General features: G+C 42.5%; 1 protein-coding gene across 27 annotated transcripts in view, besides 3 other annotated features; it reads left to right on the top strand.

The window, feature by feature from the left end:
* The window catches only part of SH3KBP1 (SH3 domain containing kinase binding protein 1), a 353,624-nt gene that overhangs the window by 135,526 nt on the left and 199,557 nt on the right, over nt 1-18,541 (top strand). For 21 of the 27 annotated variants that reach the window (NM_001353890.2, NM_031892.3, NM_001353892.2 and 18 more), the window contains one exon: nt 5,634-5,757. In NM_001353890.2, the coding sequence (NP_001340819.1) occupies nt 5,634-5,757 (124 nt within the window). Of the gene's footprint in view, nt 1-3,998; nt 4,180-4,483; nt 4,761-5,633; nt 5,758-18,541 lie in introns of those variants that run through there. The other 6 variants (XM_047442048.1, XM_047442045.1, XM_047442041.1 and 3 more) reach the window with 2 other exon arrangements.
* Nucleotides 3,964-4,013: an enhancer, noted in NCBI's record as "active region_29467". NCBI's record gives its function as "activates an Ori minimal core promoter by ATAC-STARR-seq in GM12878 lymphoblastoid cells {active_cell/tissue: GM12878}" and the evidence as "EXISTENCE:reporter gene assay evidence [ECO:0000049][PMID:35858748]".
* Nucleotides 8,577-8,726: an enhancer, noted in NCBI's record as "active region_29466". NCBI's record gives its function as "activates an Ori minimal core promoter by ATAC-STARR-seq in GM12878 lymphoblastoid cells {active_cell/tissue: GM12878}" and the evidence as "EXISTENCE:reporter gene assay evidence [ECO:0000049][PMID:35858748]".
* Nucleotides 15,617-15,706: an enhancer, noted in NCBI's record as "active region_29465". NCBI's record gives its function as "activates an Ori minimal core promoter by ATAC-STARR-seq in GM12878 lymphoblastoid cells {active_cell/tissue: GM12878}" and the evidence as "EXISTENCE:reporter gene assay evidence [ECO:0000049][PMID:35858748]".

Below are 18,541 nucleotides of genomic sequence, written 5' to 3'. Positions count from 1 at the left end.
TAGTATTTTGGTTACAGACTGACCAGTTAATTTAAAGGAGTTAACACTGAACCCAGCCAACTCACCAGTACCTGTAAAGTATGAAACGGATGGTGAGGGAGAAGAGAAAAGAGGTAGCCAACTTGGCTCAGCAGCCAGCCAGATCCAGGCAACGCAGCTTATCAGAAAGCAGACCATCCTAGCATAGCTCGCAGTTGCATGCACATCATCTGTTTGCCCGGTGAGGCTGCTGTTTGCAGGCCGCTGAATGTGTCGTGAATTTTTGCCAGAGTGGCATTATTCTGGCTTTTTGGTCTCTGAATGTGGGTGAGCCATCCCAGGCTCTGTTTGGTACAGTGCTTTTGGGAAGGGAATGGTGTGAGTTCTCTTCCTTTTCTCAAGTGGTCCTTGTGACACAGCTGAAGCGTCCTTTGCAGCATTGATACCTTATTGATGGCCTCGGTTTTATTGTACATGCTGAGTTTCCATTGTAAAGAGATCAGATCTGAGATAAAGAGAAGCTGGGTTTCCTTTGCTTTCTGAAGAGGTTTGCTGATACCCTGTCTGTTCTATATTGTCTTTAAGCAAGCAAAATCATTGCTGATTTATATATGTGGGCAGTTATGTATGCATTTCCATGAGCCCTCATGGCCTGTAATTCTGGTCCAGGGTGTGGCCTCTACTACTGAGATTATAGGACCCAGGTTCTTAACAAATGGCAAAAAAACACGGGCCTGATGGTCAGAAAGTTGCAATTAAAGACGGGGGTCTAGGAACCCCCAGTCCCAGGAAATCCAGAGTCCCATGACCTGGATCAGAACCTCGGAGAGCTCCAGGTACTTGGCTGTTGGCAGATATACAGAGGCAGGAGTTGCTCTAGTTCCAAGCCAACCCTCCTCTGCAGGAAGGAGCTCTTCTATGTGGATGGATAATAAGGGACTTCAAAGATTTGGGCCTCAATAGTCTTGGGCTTTATAGGTAAGGTGATCTGTTACATCACTTAACTGTGGAGGGAAGCTAAGGTTTCCACTGGAGCCACAGGCTGAGTGGTTTTGAGTCTCCCTCCTATAGTCATGCCACTGGTTCTTCTTAGGAGGTGAGATGTACTAGGAGAGCTCTGCCTAGAAGGCTCAGAGTTTGGTTTCATGGCCAGCTCTGCCCCTTGCTAGCTTTGTGGCCTTCATCTGATCTTGCATCTTCTCTGACTGGGTCTCACTATTCTTATGTATAAAAATATATGTTTGGCAAAATCAGTTGTTTTTTTTTTTCCTGACAGTGTTGTTGTTAGGAACAAGTGAAAAAATAGCTGCTAAAGCACTTTAATTTATAAGCCTTTGCCAGTGTACAGTTGTATCATTGCTAGCATCATCACCTATTTTTAGAGCCTGTGGATAGGAATCCATGACGTCAGGATTCTGTGAACATAAGGTGTTGTCCAAGCAGTGCACCATCCCCCAACTTATATTTGCATGGTAATTGGTTCTGTGGGGTCAGCATGCATGTCACATATTTTTAGTCAGAAGCAAGTACACAGAGACTTGTGGTTTGCTGTTCAATTTGAAAAGTGTTTGAATGAAAGCTTGTCCTGTGGTCTTTTGGAAGTAACTGGAGATTTCTGTAGGGACTGACAAGAACAACAGACGTTTGAGTGTCCATTTTGCAGAGGCTAAACTGGGAGGGGAGAGATTGTAGGCAGGAAGACATGATTATAATCCAGGCAGTACTCCAGGAAACAGTGGTTAAGAGATGAGCTCTCGCCTGTAATCCCAGCATTTTGGGAGGCCAAGGTGGGCGGATTACTTGAGGTCAGGAGCTTGAGACCAGTCTGGCCAACATGGCGAAACTCTGCCTCTACTAAAAAACACAAAAATTAGCCGGGTGAGGTGGCACGTGCCTGTAATCCCAGCTATTCGGGAGGCTGAGACATGACCATTGCCTGAACCCGGAAGTGGAGGTTGCAGTGAACTGAGATCACGCCATTGTACTCCAGCCTGGGCAACAGAGTGAGACTGTCTCAAAAGAAAAAAAAAATGAGAGAGATGAGCTCTGAAGCTAGACAGGTTGAGTTCCAATCCTGGCTCCTACTTGTCTGACCTTGAGCAAGTTTGCTTAGCCCCCTGGGTCTTGTGTGGGTGTCTGAGTAGGGCCATAGTGTAGATTAAAAGTTGCAGTCCAGGTGAAGCTCTTAGAGCGGGGTTTGGCACATGGTAAGCACTCAGATGTTAGCTGCTATTCATGTGGGAGTCTTCTATTCATTTTATTGTGGTAATATATGTAACATAAAATTTACCATTTTAGTTATTTTAAGTGTACAGTCAGTAGCATTAATTACATTAGAATGTTGTGCAACTATCCGTACTATCTATGTCCAAAACATTTTCACTACTCCTGAGAGAACCCTTTAACTATCAAACAGTAACTTCCCATTCTGCCTCTCCCAACCTTTCAGGTAACCTCTAATCTACTTTCTATCTCTATGAATTTGCCTATTCTAGATATTTCACATAGGTGGACTCATACAATGTTTATCCCTTTGTGTGTTTTATTTCACTTAGCATAATGTTTTCCAGGTTCATCCATGTTGTAGCATGTATCAGAACTTTATTCCTTTTCGAGGCTGTATAATATTCCATTTTGTGGATATACCATATCTTGTTTATCCATTCATCTCTTAATGGACACTTGGGTTATTTCCTTCTTTTGGCTATTATGTATAAAGTTGCAGTAAACACTGGCATACAAGTTTGCCTTGGGGGCAAAGCTTTCAATTCTGCTGGGGTCCCTGCTTTCAATGCTTTTGAGTATATACCTAGAAGTGGAATTGCTGGATCAGATGGTAATTCTATATTTAACTTTCTAAGGAGCTGCCATACTGTTTTCCACAGGAGCTGCCCTATTTTACATTCCCATTAGCAATATACAAAGATTCCAGTTTCTCCACATCCTCATCAACACTTGTTTTCTTTTAAAATTCTAGCCATCCTAGTAGGTACGAAAGGGTATTTCATTGTGGTTTTCATTTGCATTTCCCTAATGACTAATGATGTTGAACATCGTGTCACATGCTCATTAGCCACTTGTATGTTTTCTTTGGAGAAACGTCTATTCAAGTCCTTTGCTTGGCATTTATATTTTTTTCCCTTTATGTTTTTAAGATACTACAGGAGGACAAAAAAGAAACAGATTGAGAAAGTAGATGCAGCCAGACTGGGCGACTGCTTAGATAGGGGGATAATACTGAATTTTCTACTCTGGGTAATTGGGTGGATGATGGGGTACCAAAGAAGACAGGCTGCCCTTTCCTGGGAGAAGGGGCAGGTTGGAGAAAAGGTATTGGCTTTGGGTGGGGCTGCATTGAGCTTGGGTGTTATCCAGGTGGGGAGCCTATAGAATTAACTGCCACGGCCATGTGTCCGATTGGTTTCTCTGAAAAAAATGCAAGACATATTTTAGGTTTTGTCTCCTCCCTGCTTCCACCTAAAGAAGCAACTTAAGCAATTCACTCATCATTCAGCTTCTCTATTTGGCAAATGTGAACAATTACTGGGGGAACAATGGAGTCTGGAATTTATGGGCCAGCCTCTCTCCTGGTGCCAGTTTCTCAGCCCTTCAGCACCTGCTCTTGATCAGACCCAGTCCTTCCTAGCCAGCTGCTCCCCACGTGCTGCTCTGAAGCATTGGGGAGTAGGGGTGAGCCTTCTTGAGAACCATGGCTTCTGAGGCTTTCTCCAGGGACCACCCCAGCCTCACAATGCTGGCGCTGCTTCTCCCACCCTTCCCCGGCTGCATGCCATTAGCAGTTATTGCTAAGTAGACACTTGCTATGTCGTCCTCAACCCACTGACTTTCTCTGAGTTACTCCTTGGCAAAGTTGGGTGTTGTGCTCTGTTGTGTTACTGCATCACGTTGTGTCTAGGTGGGGAATTTGCACGTGCACAGTCATACCCACACTGCGATGGAAAATGAGGTTTGAGCAACTGTTCTTCCCCCAAAGAAGCAACCGGTGAGGAAATGAGCCCACTTGGTGGCTTGTTGTCTTTACTTTCAGAGCCAGAGCAGGCTGGCAGCCATCACCAAGTTAGCATCCTGTCATGTGGCTCAGGCGGGCAATGTTTGCAGATTGTCCCCTGATGCCATCTGCCTGTGAGGCTACAGGAACCCCCAGCAACTGCTGCTCTAGCAGGTGCTGGGGCTGCTGAGGTAGGTGTCCGTGTACATATATTCAAGCACACACAGCTTTGTGTGGTGTGCAGAGGTACCGGTGTTGGGCTAGGGCTGAGCTTCGCCTAGTTAGGCCTCTGGGACGCCAGTTGAAACACTCAACCTAGCAAAGCGCCAGCCCCAGTTGTTGGTTTCCGGTGGGGCCCTGGTGAGGGAGGAAGAGAGGGTGAGGCTGCTGTGAACAGAGGCAGCAACTGGGGAATTGGATATGGTAACTAACACACTCTTGAGTGTGCAGGAAGCTGCGGGGAGTGGCATTGTTTTGACAAACTTTTGTTGCTTTCTTTCTGCCTCTGCCCTCTGCTCGGGCCTAGTCATGGCCCTCTACCCAATTTAGCATCTCTGTTCCTTCCAGCGGGGAGCCCATCCCCATTTCTTACCTCATGGGCTCTTTTTAAGGAGCGCATTCCTCATCTTTGAGCTCTTCCTGCCATTCAGCCATGCTTTGGGTCAGCCCCTAAGCTTTCACTTTTCCCCAAGTTACTGTGATTATGGATTCAGACAAGCCTAGAAAATCCTTACTCCTTTGGGGGGAATTCCTGTATACAGACTTATACTTTGTGAGTCACTATTATCTTGGTCTAATAATGCTTTTTAAAACAATTATGTAAATTATTAAAGCAATTTGAAATAATTATATTAGCCATCAGATTTCAGAAATCTAGATCTTAATGGAGCTTTGATTAAGAGTCTACCTAGAGCAGGGGTCAGCGAACTTTTTCTGTAAAGGGCCAGATATTTTAGACTTTGATCTCTGTTGCAGCTACTCAGTTCCGCTGGTGTAGCATGAAAGCAGCTGTACAAAATACTTAAATGCATGAGTATAGTTGTGTTCTAATGAGACTTTCTTTACAAAAGTGAGTGGTGAGCTTTCATTTGCTGACCCCTGATCTAGAGTGATAAGCCATCCTTATTTTTTTTCTTTGTCAAGAGTTGAAAAGCCAGAGGAACTTGATGACTGTAAATGCATTAGAATCATCTTCTTTTGGGTTTAGTATCCTTGTGAGCACAATGGTAATTTGGGAATATGCTTCTTTAAATCTCTGTTGAGAAGAAGATAAATCAGAAGGCTTTTTAAGGGGGTGAGTCTGCTTGGCCAAAGCTTGTCATTGTTTAACAAGAACAGGCTGTCACTTAGAGCTGTATGGTGGCTTTTATGTTTCACTCATTCTCTTTATAGTCACATGGAATGGCCATAGTTACATAAGGTCGCCTCACCATACTGGGGCTTATTCCACTTTATAGGACCAGGTGCTTTTCTAATAAATGTAAGAAAACTACAAAGATACAGAAAATGGTGTTTTTAAAACATGATGTTATGCTAAGTTGGCATTGCTATAGTTCATTTCCAGAAAGATGGAGCTTAAGATAGTCCAAGAGGCATTCTAAAGTTTCAAACTATAATCTTGTTTTCCTTTTATCTGTCCTCACAGGAAATAAAGAAAGAGATGAAGAAAGACCCTCTCACCAACAAAGCTCCAGAAAAGCCCCTGCACGAAGTGCCCAGTGGAAACTCTTTGCTGTCTTCTGAAACGATTTTAAGAACCAATAAGAGAGGTATGGAAAAGGAAAAAGAGGTTCCCTCCCTGCACACAAACAAAAGCTGGAAACTTCTGGTGAACTGTGTCAAACTTTATATTGCTGAAAAATTGAATAGAGTTTGTCCTTTTGGTTTTTGGTATATATTTTGGATACACACATACATACTTGGCAAGTGACTATATGTATAGTAACTGTAATAAAGGGAACTAATAAAAATATTTTTTGACAGTGGGAAAGTAGACTACATTTGTAAATGATGATTTTTCTGGAGCTGTAGATTTCACTTTCATATCTATTTTTATGGATGAAAGGTGAATTTAGAGAATGCTGTGGTGCAGGCCTGAGCCGTGTGTCTGACCGCACTCTCCCTTTAATTTAAGGCAAACCTTATCAAGTTATTTCTCTCTCCAACTGCTAGGCTCCCTAGCGCAGACCCTGCCTCTCTGAGTTTGTGAGGCAGAATGTGCAAAGATATAGCTAACACATCTGTCTGACCAGAAGACCTTTAACAATCTTGTTTTCTCTCTTTTGAGACCTCAAGGCAGATTTTCAGGTATCAGCTTGTTGGAGTTTTGTTTTTTCTCCCATCCCCTCTTGGTGATAATTGTTTGAAATAATGTGAGAGAGAATAGAAGACTGCAGAGACGACCCCACTCAATTTTATACTGTGAGCACACTAGGGTCCCTCCGTTTTTCCTGACCTTGGACCAGCCAGGGCACATGCTGAGCATGCCTGTAGGTTAGCGCTTGGCTGCCAGCTTTTAGTGGGCTTATTACTTCCTTAAAGAGAAATAGAGAGCTGTTTGAAAGCAGGCACAGGAACTAGATTAGCAAAGGGTTCCATTAACCAGAAAAAAAGAAGGCAAGTTTATATAACCATGGGGAGGAAGAACAGCTAATCTTTCATAAAATTTAGACAGGATAAGAATTTGTCCAGTAAACTGCCCATTGATCATAGCTTTGTGCCTCTCTTCCTTTCTGTCTCTTCCTCTACTGCCTCCAGCTGCCCTGGGTTACATTTCCCTTTTTGAATTATTCAGATCAAATATTGGCTGGAGGCCCATGTTGGTTAGCAGCTATAGGATTTTCTTTCTTTTCTCGTTTTGTTAAATTCATCCTACCAAAGCAGGGGATTTCCCATTTTAAGAATTAAGTGCCCTTTGCTGTAAAACTACAGTCTTGCCCAAAAGTGCCTCCTGCATTCTTGCAAGTAAGCTCTCAAACTCCTGAGACCTGCATTCATTGGATTTGGTGAGGTAGAGTTCAGTGTGTGTTCTTTCTGCACTTTCAAACCAATGAGAAGGAGCCCTCCCATTCCTCCACCTGCCTCTTGGGTCCGCGGGCACGGCAATTGCACGCATGTTGACCAGCGGCAAGGCCTCTTTGGCCAGCCATGGTTTTTGTCAAGTCAGTAAGAGATTTAAAGTAATTAATTAATTTAACAAGATAAGGAATTAATTAAGGTAAGGAATTGAGGTAACTATTTGGATGAGTTTAGTAAAATTACCTGAGAACTTTAAATCAACGAAGGAATAGAATTTTTCAGATGATTATCTCTTCACCACTGAAAATCTGGCCTCTGAGTTCCCCTATGGAATTTTTCATTCACCAAAAATTGGAATGCAGAGGGATGGCTTACTGCCTTACATTCCATTTTGAAAGCTTTCTGCCTTGGACCTGCAGCCTGGTTATGGCCAACCTTTCATTCTGAGGCATTTTATATGTGGAATCTGCCGGTGGTTGTGGGACCTGAGTACATGGAGGCATTCTGTAAATATGAAGTCTATAACAAATCATCTTCATTCTGTCCGAGGCTTCACCCTGACCTCCTGGGTCACCTGGGCGTAACATAAATTTCCAGCTGAAGGGAAGCATTGTGTACCAGGCCCAGGGCTGCCTCTGGCCCTCCCCCACCAGTCAAGACTACCAGTATTCTGCTACCCCTTATAATAAACAGCGGGGGTAGATTGATTGGCCTTGTCAGGCCAGATAAATAGTTCATTGTACTGAGCTCAAAAGCTACATTTTTTTCCCACCCAAAATCAATGAAAAAAACACTTTTTTCCCCCCTTAAAACAAGGATCAGAGGCTAAATCTGTGGGATGATTCTAGTTACTTGTAAACACTTCGGTCCAACTAATTTTTAAAGTTTTATGAGTTACCATAAGTGACTGAAGGGGCCTCCTTCCCCTTTGTTTCCATCATCGAGCTTTGTCTCCAGCAACCTTTCGGATGTTTTGGTCTATTACTGTTGTTGTGGCTATTAGGGAAGGAAGTTGCTTTCAGGATTTATTAACAGCCTGCTTTGATTGGCTAACATGGGATCTTAGAGGATATGAGTTGAGTCCACCTTGTGATTCAGTCTTGGACCCTTGTAAGAATTTAATAGAATGAACACAAGTTCTCTTCCTTGAACTTGATCAAAGATGAGATGACTGTTTTCTGTATATGGACCTTATCATTTGATACATGCTTGAAGTTGGATTAATAATGAAAGATTGACATCTATTTCTATCATGAGTCTGAAACTGAACCACTTCATTGGGTCCTGAACTTGAGATAGTCCTAGCTGAAGAAGTTTGCCCAATTGTGTCCAGCTGTTTTTGCGTCTTGTGACATGCCTCACTTTGCAGCAACTGCAAACAGGTAGTAGTCCCTCACGTTGTGGGATGAGCTCACCCTCCCCAGACACCTGCATAAGGTCAGAAGACATCTTGGGTTTGAAGGAAGCTATTCATAGCCTTGAGAAAAAGCCAGGGCTATGGAAACCTTAGTTTGGGGACTGATTAGTTTCACTTTTCAGCTTTAACGTTTGTAAACGTCTGCAGAGTTGATTTAGGGGGTACTGGAATGACTCCATGGGCTTTTTTTTTCTTTCTTTCTTTCTTTCTTTTTTATTTTTTGGAAACAGGGTCTCACTCTGACACCCAGGCTCTCACTCTGACATCCAGGCTGGAGTGCAGTGGCGCGATCATGGCTCACTGCAGCCTCGACCTCCCCAGGCTCAGGTGATCCTCCCACCTCAGCCTCCTGAGTAGCTGGGACTACAAGGTACGAGCTACCACACCTGGCTAATTTACTGATTTTTCGTAGAGCTGGGGTTTTGCCATGTTGCCTAGCTAGTCTTGAACGCCTGGGCTCAAGCAAGCCTCCTACCCCAGCCTCCCAGAGCACTGGGATTACAGGTATAAGCCACTGTGACTGGCTGGCTTTTCATTTGAGAAGATGATGTGACTGGAATTGAGAGAGAGAAAGTACATCCTCCCAGCTGACTTGGCAGCCACTGGCTACACATTCTGGCATTAGAACCTTAGGGGCACTTGTGTCTGCACTCACTTCTGGCCATTTCTGTGGTCCTTACCTGAGTCACAGTGAAAGAGCTTCCTGTTTAAAACAAGCCTTTCCTGAGGAATAAGAAGTCGTTTTTCATTTAAACTTGCAGCATGGATGTTGTATGTTCTGAAGTTATCCCAGACTCCAGTATATCGATGAGTTAAGCCAGAAAATGTGAAAACTTTACTTGGAGCCAAATGTCATTCTCTTGATGAACCAGACAGAAAAGAGTTGTATGTTTTCTTCAAAGAATGATTGATTCTTTTGTTTCTTCTATCATTAAACCCATAAAAGAGAATGATGGGCCCTCCTAAATTGGAGCATTGATATATAGAGACTTTTTTAAAAAAGCATTCAAATGCCGAGATTGTGCCACTCCAGCCTGGGCAACAAGAGTGAAACTCCATCTCAAAAAACAAACAAACAAACAAACAAAAAAAACGCATTCAAATGTTGAGTTTAGAAGAAAAATTGAATAAAACGGAAGTTTGAACAGTTAGCATATATCCTAAATAGGTTCTTGAAAATGAACAGTGGATTTTTGTCCATTTGAATATAGACTCTTACCTACTTGAATTAAAAATGAAATAAAAAAATCAAGCTGGACACAGTGACTCATTCCTGTAATCCCAGCACTCTGGAAGGCTGAGGTGAGAGGATTGCTTGAGTCCAGGAGCTCAAGACCAGCCTGGGCAACATAGCAAGACCCCATCTCTAAAAAAAATAAAACAATTAGCTGGGTGTGGTGGCATGCACCTGTAGTCTTAGCTACTCAAGAGGCTGAGGTGGGAGAATCACTTAAGCCCAGAAGGTCGGGGCTGCAGTGAGCTGTGATAGCGCCACTGCACTCCAGCCTGGGTGCCAGAGTGAGACCCTATCTCAAAACAAAAAACAAAAAAAAGAAAAAATTATTTGATCCTTAGAAGGATTTCCTGGCTAACTTTATTCATGTGATCAGTTAAGTATCCAGGCTGTCATCAATACCCTGCTGGCCCGTGTGAGGACCAGGTTCCATCTCAGGGTTCTCGTTTGCACTGTTAACAGTGCATGCAGAGAAGATGTATCTCTGCCTCTCTCTGAACCTCTCCTGTTGCCTGGAATTTTGGACATTGTTCCTTCCTCACTTTTTGGTAGACACCCATGAACATTCAATAGTACATGTTTAGTGCATGCCCACTATGCATCTGCCCTTGTGCTTGGTGATGGGGCAGATAAAGACTGGAAAAACACCAGCCAGTCCTGCCTGCAAGTAACTCAGTCTGTTGTATCCCTTGGGAAACGTTGAGAAAGTGCTGCACGTTTCTTATATCATTTTGATGGCAAGGTGGGGATGTGTCTTGTATTTACTTCTGTCATTCTGAATGTGAAGCCACTCCGTGGGTTTCTGGTTGGCTTTATATGTCCTTGTTTCTATTTCCAGTTTATCATGAATTCAGTGTTTGGTAAGTCTCTATTGTATTTTGCACATTTACTATTTTTTGCTATATTATTATGCTCTCCTGATACAAAATGTATTTTATAGTTACCTTTTTAAGTCGCTCTGCTACTTTGGCATCTGCCTTCCCAAAGATAAACTGCTTTTACCATCTTTATTTAAGGTTTTTTATGCATTTGCATTTTACTGCCCCTTCCAGAGATTAATGCTGAAAGATCTGACGGTTTAAAAGATGTTATTTGTAACAGGTCTAGCTCTGATGCTACGAGGTGAGATCGTCTGTCTCATGAGATTCAAGTTAAGATGGGGGAGGGTTGCTCTCTGAATTGATATGTGGGTATGACTGATTGTAGAACATTGCTCTGTGGGTTCATTTCTGGTGTGTTTAATCCTTCAGACGGGTTCCATTCAAAAGTTTTCCTTAACAGAGGGATCAACGGCTGCTCTTCCTCTGGTGACACACTGTTGCTTTAAAAGTTAGTGCAGAAGTTCTTCCACATTAATATGGACCTCGTGTTTGCCACATGGAAGGGCTCTCCAGTTTGGTCTGCTACCTGTAGCTGTCAGAAGAATGTTGCTTAATGTTTACCTTTCTTCTCATAGTTTCAGCACTGGTCATTCCAAGCCCTAAACAGATCTAAGTGACTGCCCGTCCTTTCCCCACTTCCCCTGAAGGGGAAACGTTTTTTCTAGCTTTTAGTGTGAGGGCCTGGAATGCTTCTCATGGCGCCAAGGCGGTGGCGTGGATCTTGATAGGCCGTGAGCTCTTTGGCAGAAATGAAACTGTTAACAAAGGATGGAAAGAAGTATGTCCTTAGTAAAGAAAATGTCAACCTCTTTGGTTTGCCAGTGGTTTGTTGTTTAAGGTAAATGTGAGATCTGGGGGTTTGTTTGTAGAGATGAGACTTTGTTTCTTTCAAATTTTCTATTGGAGAAATAAATGTGAATTCTTGCCAGTTAACTGGGAATCTGAAAATGTGCCATTTGGGGTCAGACTTTTCTTTGAGTTTCAAGATTGCCTGTTTATTTGACTTAAGGAGCTGGTGTTTATGGACAGATAGAATAAGAGTTAACAGAAGACATTACTGTTGTGTAGAAGCTCTTGGCTATCACCTGAGCTGGTCTTTCCCAGGGGAAATGAAAATCTGGCGATCTGGCAGTGAATGGGGATAGATATGATACATAGTCATTCAGTAATATATACGTCTGTGTGAATGTATCTGTATACGCATCTATAGTCTTATTTTCCAGTGGGCCTTCATTCTCAAAAGCTCTGGAGTCAAGAGCCTTTAAAGAAGTCTTTTAAACTAACTGATCCCTGACTGCATTTCTGGCAAGTTTTATTGGGACACTGCGTTGTTAGCACCAGCAATTGATGTTGGAGTGTGTGTTACCCTTTTTCATGTTATTTTCTGAACCTATTGAGCCTAGAGTGAGGGGTGGTGAAATGCATGGTAAGAACTACATAGGAGGGTATAGCCATCATGTTGCGATTATGTGTGGGTCATTGATAAAATCGGTTTTTAGATTTTTTTTTCTGTTATGTTTAATCTCCTTTCTATCTCTGTGTCTTCTGATTTCAAGGCATTAACACTAATGAGTCTCCCATGGGTTAGTCATGGGTTTAAGACTCCCGCCATACTCCTGCTGGTGTCCGCCCAAATCCACCCAGAGGACAAGCCATGAAGTGGGTTTGTGGTGGTGGCTCCACCTGGTGGCTCTCCTAGGAAACTCCTCTTTCTGCCCACCTTTTCCTTCTCCTTGGGAGAATCTTGATGGAGGATGCCTTTGATTCCTCTGACTCAGTGTTCACTATTTGTGCAGTTCCATCCCAGACCCACGGCTTCTCACATTACTTATGGATTTTTTTAGCCCTTTTGCTTTTTCGCCTAAGAATTGCTCTTTGAACTCATATAATCTGTGTCCTGATCCTTGTTCTATCTGTGATACCCCTATGGACCAGGATTATTGTTAATGAGGATTAAAAAAAAAAAAGGACTCCCATAGGCATGACTCTAGATATAGATATTAATTTGGACAAAATAAAGAATCACACTGAAATCCCTGTAGGTATGTATGCCAAAATCTCCTGCCTAATAGCTCCAAGTACCCTTATCTACTTCTTCTTCACTTTTTGTTGAACCCATTTTTCCTCAAAGGAGCAATATTTTATTACCAATGTTGTTTTCAATTGTCAGCAGGTGGCGAAAGTAAAAAGCCAACTAACTTTTTGGCTTCATTGTTGTTTCATTATTGTTTGTGAATTCTCTACAGGCAGCCCCCTTCTTGCCTGGGCACAGACTGCCCCCGCTTGGTATGTCACTGAGCATAAGTATTTTTGATAAATAAAAATGTCTTTTATTCTCATTATTTTTCAGTTTTTAGTTGTTGATAATATTGCAGATATGACTTATTTTAGCTGCATTGTGGGTCAGTCTGGGAACTTAATCACCATTTATAACTTTGCTTCTATGGGAATAATGCATTCAGAGTTCCAAACTCTCTGCATAAGGCACATATAAGTCTTTTTTTTTTTTTTTTTTTTTTTTTCTTGGAGGCAGAGTCTCGCTCTATCCCCTAGGCTGGAGTACAGTGGCATGATCTCGGCTCACTGCAACTTTCGCCTCCCGGGTTCAAGCCATTCTCCTGCCTCAGCCTCCTGAGTAGCTGGGACTACAGGCACCTGCCACCATGCCCGGCCAATTTTTGTATTTTTAGTAGAGACGGGATTTCGCCATGTTGGTCAGGCTGGTCTTGAACTCCTGACCTCAAGTCATCCCCCAGCCTCGGCCTCCCAAAGTGCTGGGATTACAGGCGTGAGCCACTGTGCCTGGCCAAGTCTGACTTCTTTTTTTTTTTTTTTTTTTTTTGCATTGCTGACATGAATCCTTAAGTACCTTTGTAAAAGTCAGAGTCCGTATAATCGGTGCCCACTGAAGTTTGCTCATGTTGCAGAGGAGTTTATAATTCACACAGTATAGAATGCTGGAACTGTGCAAGCTCCACACAGTACACTAGGCTCTGAGGATAGCTTTGGGTTCAATCACATTGCACCATTGTATATGGTGCTTATTTTCACAAGGCCTGAGTTGGATCTTAGTGTGCCCACGTTTGTATGAGGCATGTCGTGAAAGTGGGTCCTATTGTATATTTCCATCTACTAGTGACGAGACCTTGCACCAAGCGTGACATGCTCAGATAGAAACCAGCCCAGCATTTCTCAGTGTGTGTTGTATGGAATTATAGCCCTTCTGACTATTCCACAAAGGAGGGATGCGGGGAGAGACAGGCAGACAAGCGGGGAGAGAAAATTGCCTCTCTCGTCAAATTTCAGCTGCAGCACTAACACCATCTTGGAGACTGACAAGCACATTAGCATAGTACAGGCTCTCAGATGGCCTATGGTAAGGAGACCTGCTTATCTTTGATCATGGAACTGCATGTTATTGGATACTAGTTAAGACTCCACTTTGGGATATGTTGGGCTTTAAGATACAGGACAAGGAGCTCTGTAAGCATCCCCAAGATAATCTTCAGGTTCCACCTCTCATGGGAAATGTTTGAGTAAGTGAGTGGAGATGGTGGTGCTGGCACTCAGAGAAATGACTGGCGAGGCTTCTTAAGCCTGCGCTGTCAAAAAACATGAGTTAGATGATGCTAGGAGAACATTCTTTGAATCTGAAACTTGAAAGCCAGTCCTCTTGGTAGTTTTTCAAGTGACAAGCTGAAAGGGAATTTTCCCTCTGATCATTTCTTGGGTCCTTGTATCTAAGAATGAGGCTTAGACACATGAGTGGAAGTCCTAGTCTGGGCTTTGGCATGAAAAGCAGGCTGAGGGGACCCAACCTAGCAACTGGTGAGGCCAGGGTGTTCAGGTCTACCTGGGACTTGGATCACGATGGAACCTGCGATTCCAGAGGTGGTTTTTATTATGATGACAGTCTCTACATAGTCAACATAGTCTCATTGCCTTCTCTACTTGCTTTGACTGAAAGACAGAAGTCTTAGCTTTTCCCGATGCCATTAAAACACTGAACGTTTATAAAGAAGAGCCTTCTTCTCTCCCTACTAGTGAAACAGGCTGGCATTTGAGTTCAAGTAATAAATCCACATGTGGGGTTGTGAGGAAAAACCACATAGCCTGCCTTTTTAGAATTCTGGAATCACAGAGTTACAGAGGTTACAGAGGGACCCACTTATTGACATCCCAGGCGAACGAACATGGAGCCTCTGCCCAGGGAATTGAAAAGGACACTCCTTGGCTCTGGCCTTGGCTAAGCCCCACGTGGGAGCCTCCTTTCCAAAGGGAAGTTTTTCTGGGTAGGGAACTGCTAGATTAATGAAAGGTAATCAGGCCAGGTGTGATGACTTACACCTGTAATCCCAACACTTTGGGAGGGCAAAGCTGGAGGATCTCTTAAGCCCAGGAGTTCAAGACCAGCCGGGGCAACATGGTGAGATGTTTTATAGTCTCTATAAAAAATACAAAAATTAGCCGGGCATGGCAGCGTGTGCATGTAGTCCCAGCCACTTGGGAGGCTGAGGTGGGAGGATTGTCTGAGCCTCGGAAGTGAAGGTTGCAGTGAGCTGAAATCGCACCACTGCACTCCAGCCTGGGTGACAGAGCGAGAACCCGTCTCAAAAAAAAAAAAAAAAAAGTAATTAGAGGTAGATGATATTTAGGTGCTGGTTGCATTTGTTGCATTATATGGGGACAGCAGCTATATTCACTTGCAGTAAGCTCTGGAAAAGGGGCATTTTCTTCTAATTATATCTGTTGATCTGTCATCACAGCCTGGTCTCTCTGATGCCATGTGCAGCCTCAGCTTAGTCTTTGGATTCTTGGCTTTTTGTGCTTCTGAAGCCTTAAGACTGTTGTACCCAAACAATGAGGACATTTCATGGCCCACCTCCCTAACTCATGATTAGGCCAACAGCGGGCCCAGCTGCAGTGCCAGGTGGGCTGCCCTCATTGTTTCAACCAGGAAGGGAAAGAGAGACCAGCCAGAAGCTTCCTCTGCATGTGCCTGTGCATGAAAAAGAGCATTTGAGGAGGACTAGCCTGCTTGTCGCATTTGTGTTTCTCTGGAGACCTGAATAGGTTCAGTGGCAGCAGGACCTTATTGCAGGGAGGATGGCTGTTGGGAGGACCCAGACCACTCCTGCTGCACCTCCACAGCTTCTGCAGCACTTTAGACAAGTTGCAGATTCCCCCTGTGTTTCCAGGTTTCCCATTTGTAAAACAAGGAAATGCTCTTGTTAATTCCTTCAGGGCAATTGTGAAGATTAAAAATGAGTAAAGAAAATAGGTTTTGGGATAGGGAGGCAATAGAGTGAAGTGGGGTAGGGTGTCACTCACTGAATACAGTAGTAATTGCTATTAAAAGTAGTAAACTGCTAGTAAGACCCCAGAGCATTGGGAAGGAATTAGAGATTTATGGAAAATAATAAAACGTGTTTTCATGAAACAACCTGTGATCACATGCACATGGCACCTTCTCCAGGATGGACCATATGCTAGGCTGTAAAAGAAGTCTCAGTGGCCAGGTGCGGTGGCTCACGCCTATAATTCCAGCACTTTGGGAGGCCGAGGCGGGTGGATCACAAGGTCAGGAGATTGAGACCATCCTGGCTAACACAGTGAAACCCCGTCTTTATTAAAAACACAAAAAAATTAGCCGGTCATGGTGGCGGGCTCCCGTAGTCCCAGCTACTTGAAAGTCTGAGGCAGGAGAATGGCGTGAACCCGGGAGGCGGAGCTTGCAGTGAGCCGAGATCGCGCCGCTGCACTCCAGCCTGGGCAACTGAGCAAGAATCCGTCCCCCCCACCCCCCCCCCCCGCCAAAAAAAAGGAGTCTCAGTAAATTTAGAAGGATTAAAATCATACGAAGTATATTCTCCAATCACAATGGAATTAAATTAGAAATCAACAATAGAAGGAAATTGGGGAAATTCACAATTACATAGAAATTAAGCAGTATGCTCCTAAATAACCAATGAGCCAAAGAAGAATTCACAAGGGAAATTTTAAAATACTTTGAAATTAATGAAAATGAAAACATGACATACAAAAATGTACTGCCTGTGGCTAAAGCAGTGTTTCAAGTGAAACTGACAGCTGCAAATGCCTATGTACAAAAAGAAGACAGATCTCAAATTAATAGCCTTTCTACTTTCTACTTTAAGAAACTAGAAAAGAAAAGCAAGCTAAACTCAAAGCAAGCAGAAAGAAGGAAATGATAAAGGTTACAGTGGAAATAAATGAAATAGAGAATCGAAAAACTATAGAAAATCAATGAAACAAATAGTTGATCCTTAGAAATGATCAACAAACTTGATAAACCTTATCTACACTGATCAAGAAAAAAGGAGAGAAGATTTCAGTTACTATATGAGGAGTTAAAGCGCGAACATCACTACCAATCTTAAGAGAAATTAAAAGGATTGTAAGGGAATAGTATGAACAACTCACCCACTGCTGGTGGAAATGTAAAATGGTACAGCCACTTTGGAGAACAGTCACCCATATGACCCAGTATTCCAGACTCTAGAAAAATGAAAACATATATGTCCACACATAACTGTACATGAATGTTCATAGCAGCATTATTCATAATAGCCAAACAGTGGCAACAACCCAAATGTCCACCAGTGGATGAATGGCTGAACAAAATGTGGTCTATACACAAAATGGAGTATCGTAAGAAGGAATGAAGTCCTCATATATGGATGAACCTTGAAAACATTATGCTAAGTGAAAGAAGCCAGTCACAAAAGACCGCATATTGTATGATTCCATTGATATGAACGTGCGGAATAAGCAAATCCCTAGAGATAGAAAGTAGATTAGTGTTTGCCTAAAGCTGAAGGTGGGAATGGAAAGTGATTTTTGGTGGGCGTGAAGTTTCTTTTTGGGGTGATAGAAATGTTCTAAAATTACACTGCTGTCATGGCTGTACAATCCTGCAGATACATAAATCCATTTAATTGTACACTTGAAATGGGTAAATTTTATGGTATGTAAATTATATCTCAATAAAGCTATTAAAAAATACAACACAAATTGGGGTTAAAATGCTATGTCTGTCTGTCTGCCTCTTTCTCTTTTATGTCCCCTACCACTAACCTCCTTCCCACAGCTGAGGGACAAGATGTGTCATTCCATTTATTCAAGTCTTTAAAATTATATATTTCTCAGCAAAGCTTTATATTTTTCTTTATTCAATCAGTTGCCTAGGAGATAGTAGGTCTGAGGGATCAAAAAGACACTGTTTTGCTAAGGGTGACCCAAATATTAGATAATCGATTTGAGAAGGGTAGAGAACTGGCTGTGGCATCCTATTGTTCATTTCTTGAGAAAAAAATGAGATTCTCTGTAAATCAAAAGCCAAACCTCTTATATTCTAAATTCTGTGCTTCGTAGAAAGAGCCTCTGCTAGAAAGGAAAGAATCCATTTATGTTTCCAGTTTTTCTTGCCGTTGTCAGTAACTGCGTTGGCTATTTTTGCTCATAAATCTTTATCCACAGCTCTGATGATTTCTTTAGGAAAGATTTCTCAGATGTGGAATTACTGGACAAAAGTGTGTGTATATTTTATGGTACTTGGATTCATTATCAAATTGACTTCCTGAAAGCTTGCACTGATCTGTCTCACTACTGAAGTGGGGAGAGTGCTGCTTAGTGTTCTAAGCTTGAATTTCTCAGATTAATCGAGTGCTTGAACATTTTTTCTTCCGTCATTTGTTAATAATCTTTGCACTTTATATTGAGGTCCTTATTTTTTTTTTTACTGGTTGGTGTACTATTCCTTTGTCATTCATGGCAAATTTTGCTTCCCAATTTGTTTGCTTTTCATTTTGTTTACGATTGATTTTGATGCACAGAAATAGTAAATTTTTATGTAGATTGGTATATTGATGCTTTCTTTTGTGATTTCTCTGAATAAATTATCACCTAGCTTATCTCCTTTTTTTATACTGGCTTCATTTTTTACTTCAAAATTTTAATCTGTATAGAATTTTGATGTGTAG

Source organism: Homo sapiens, chromosome X (assembly GCF_000001405.40).
Source record: "Homo sapiens chromosome X, GRCh38.p14 Primary Assembly".
Classification (NCBI taxonomy): domain Eukaryota; kingdom Metazoa; phylum Chordata; class Mammalia; order Primates; family Hominidae; genus Homo; species Homo sapiens.
Note: the sequence above shows the minus strand (reverse complement) of the source record. Positions and strands in the feature narration are given on the sequence as shown.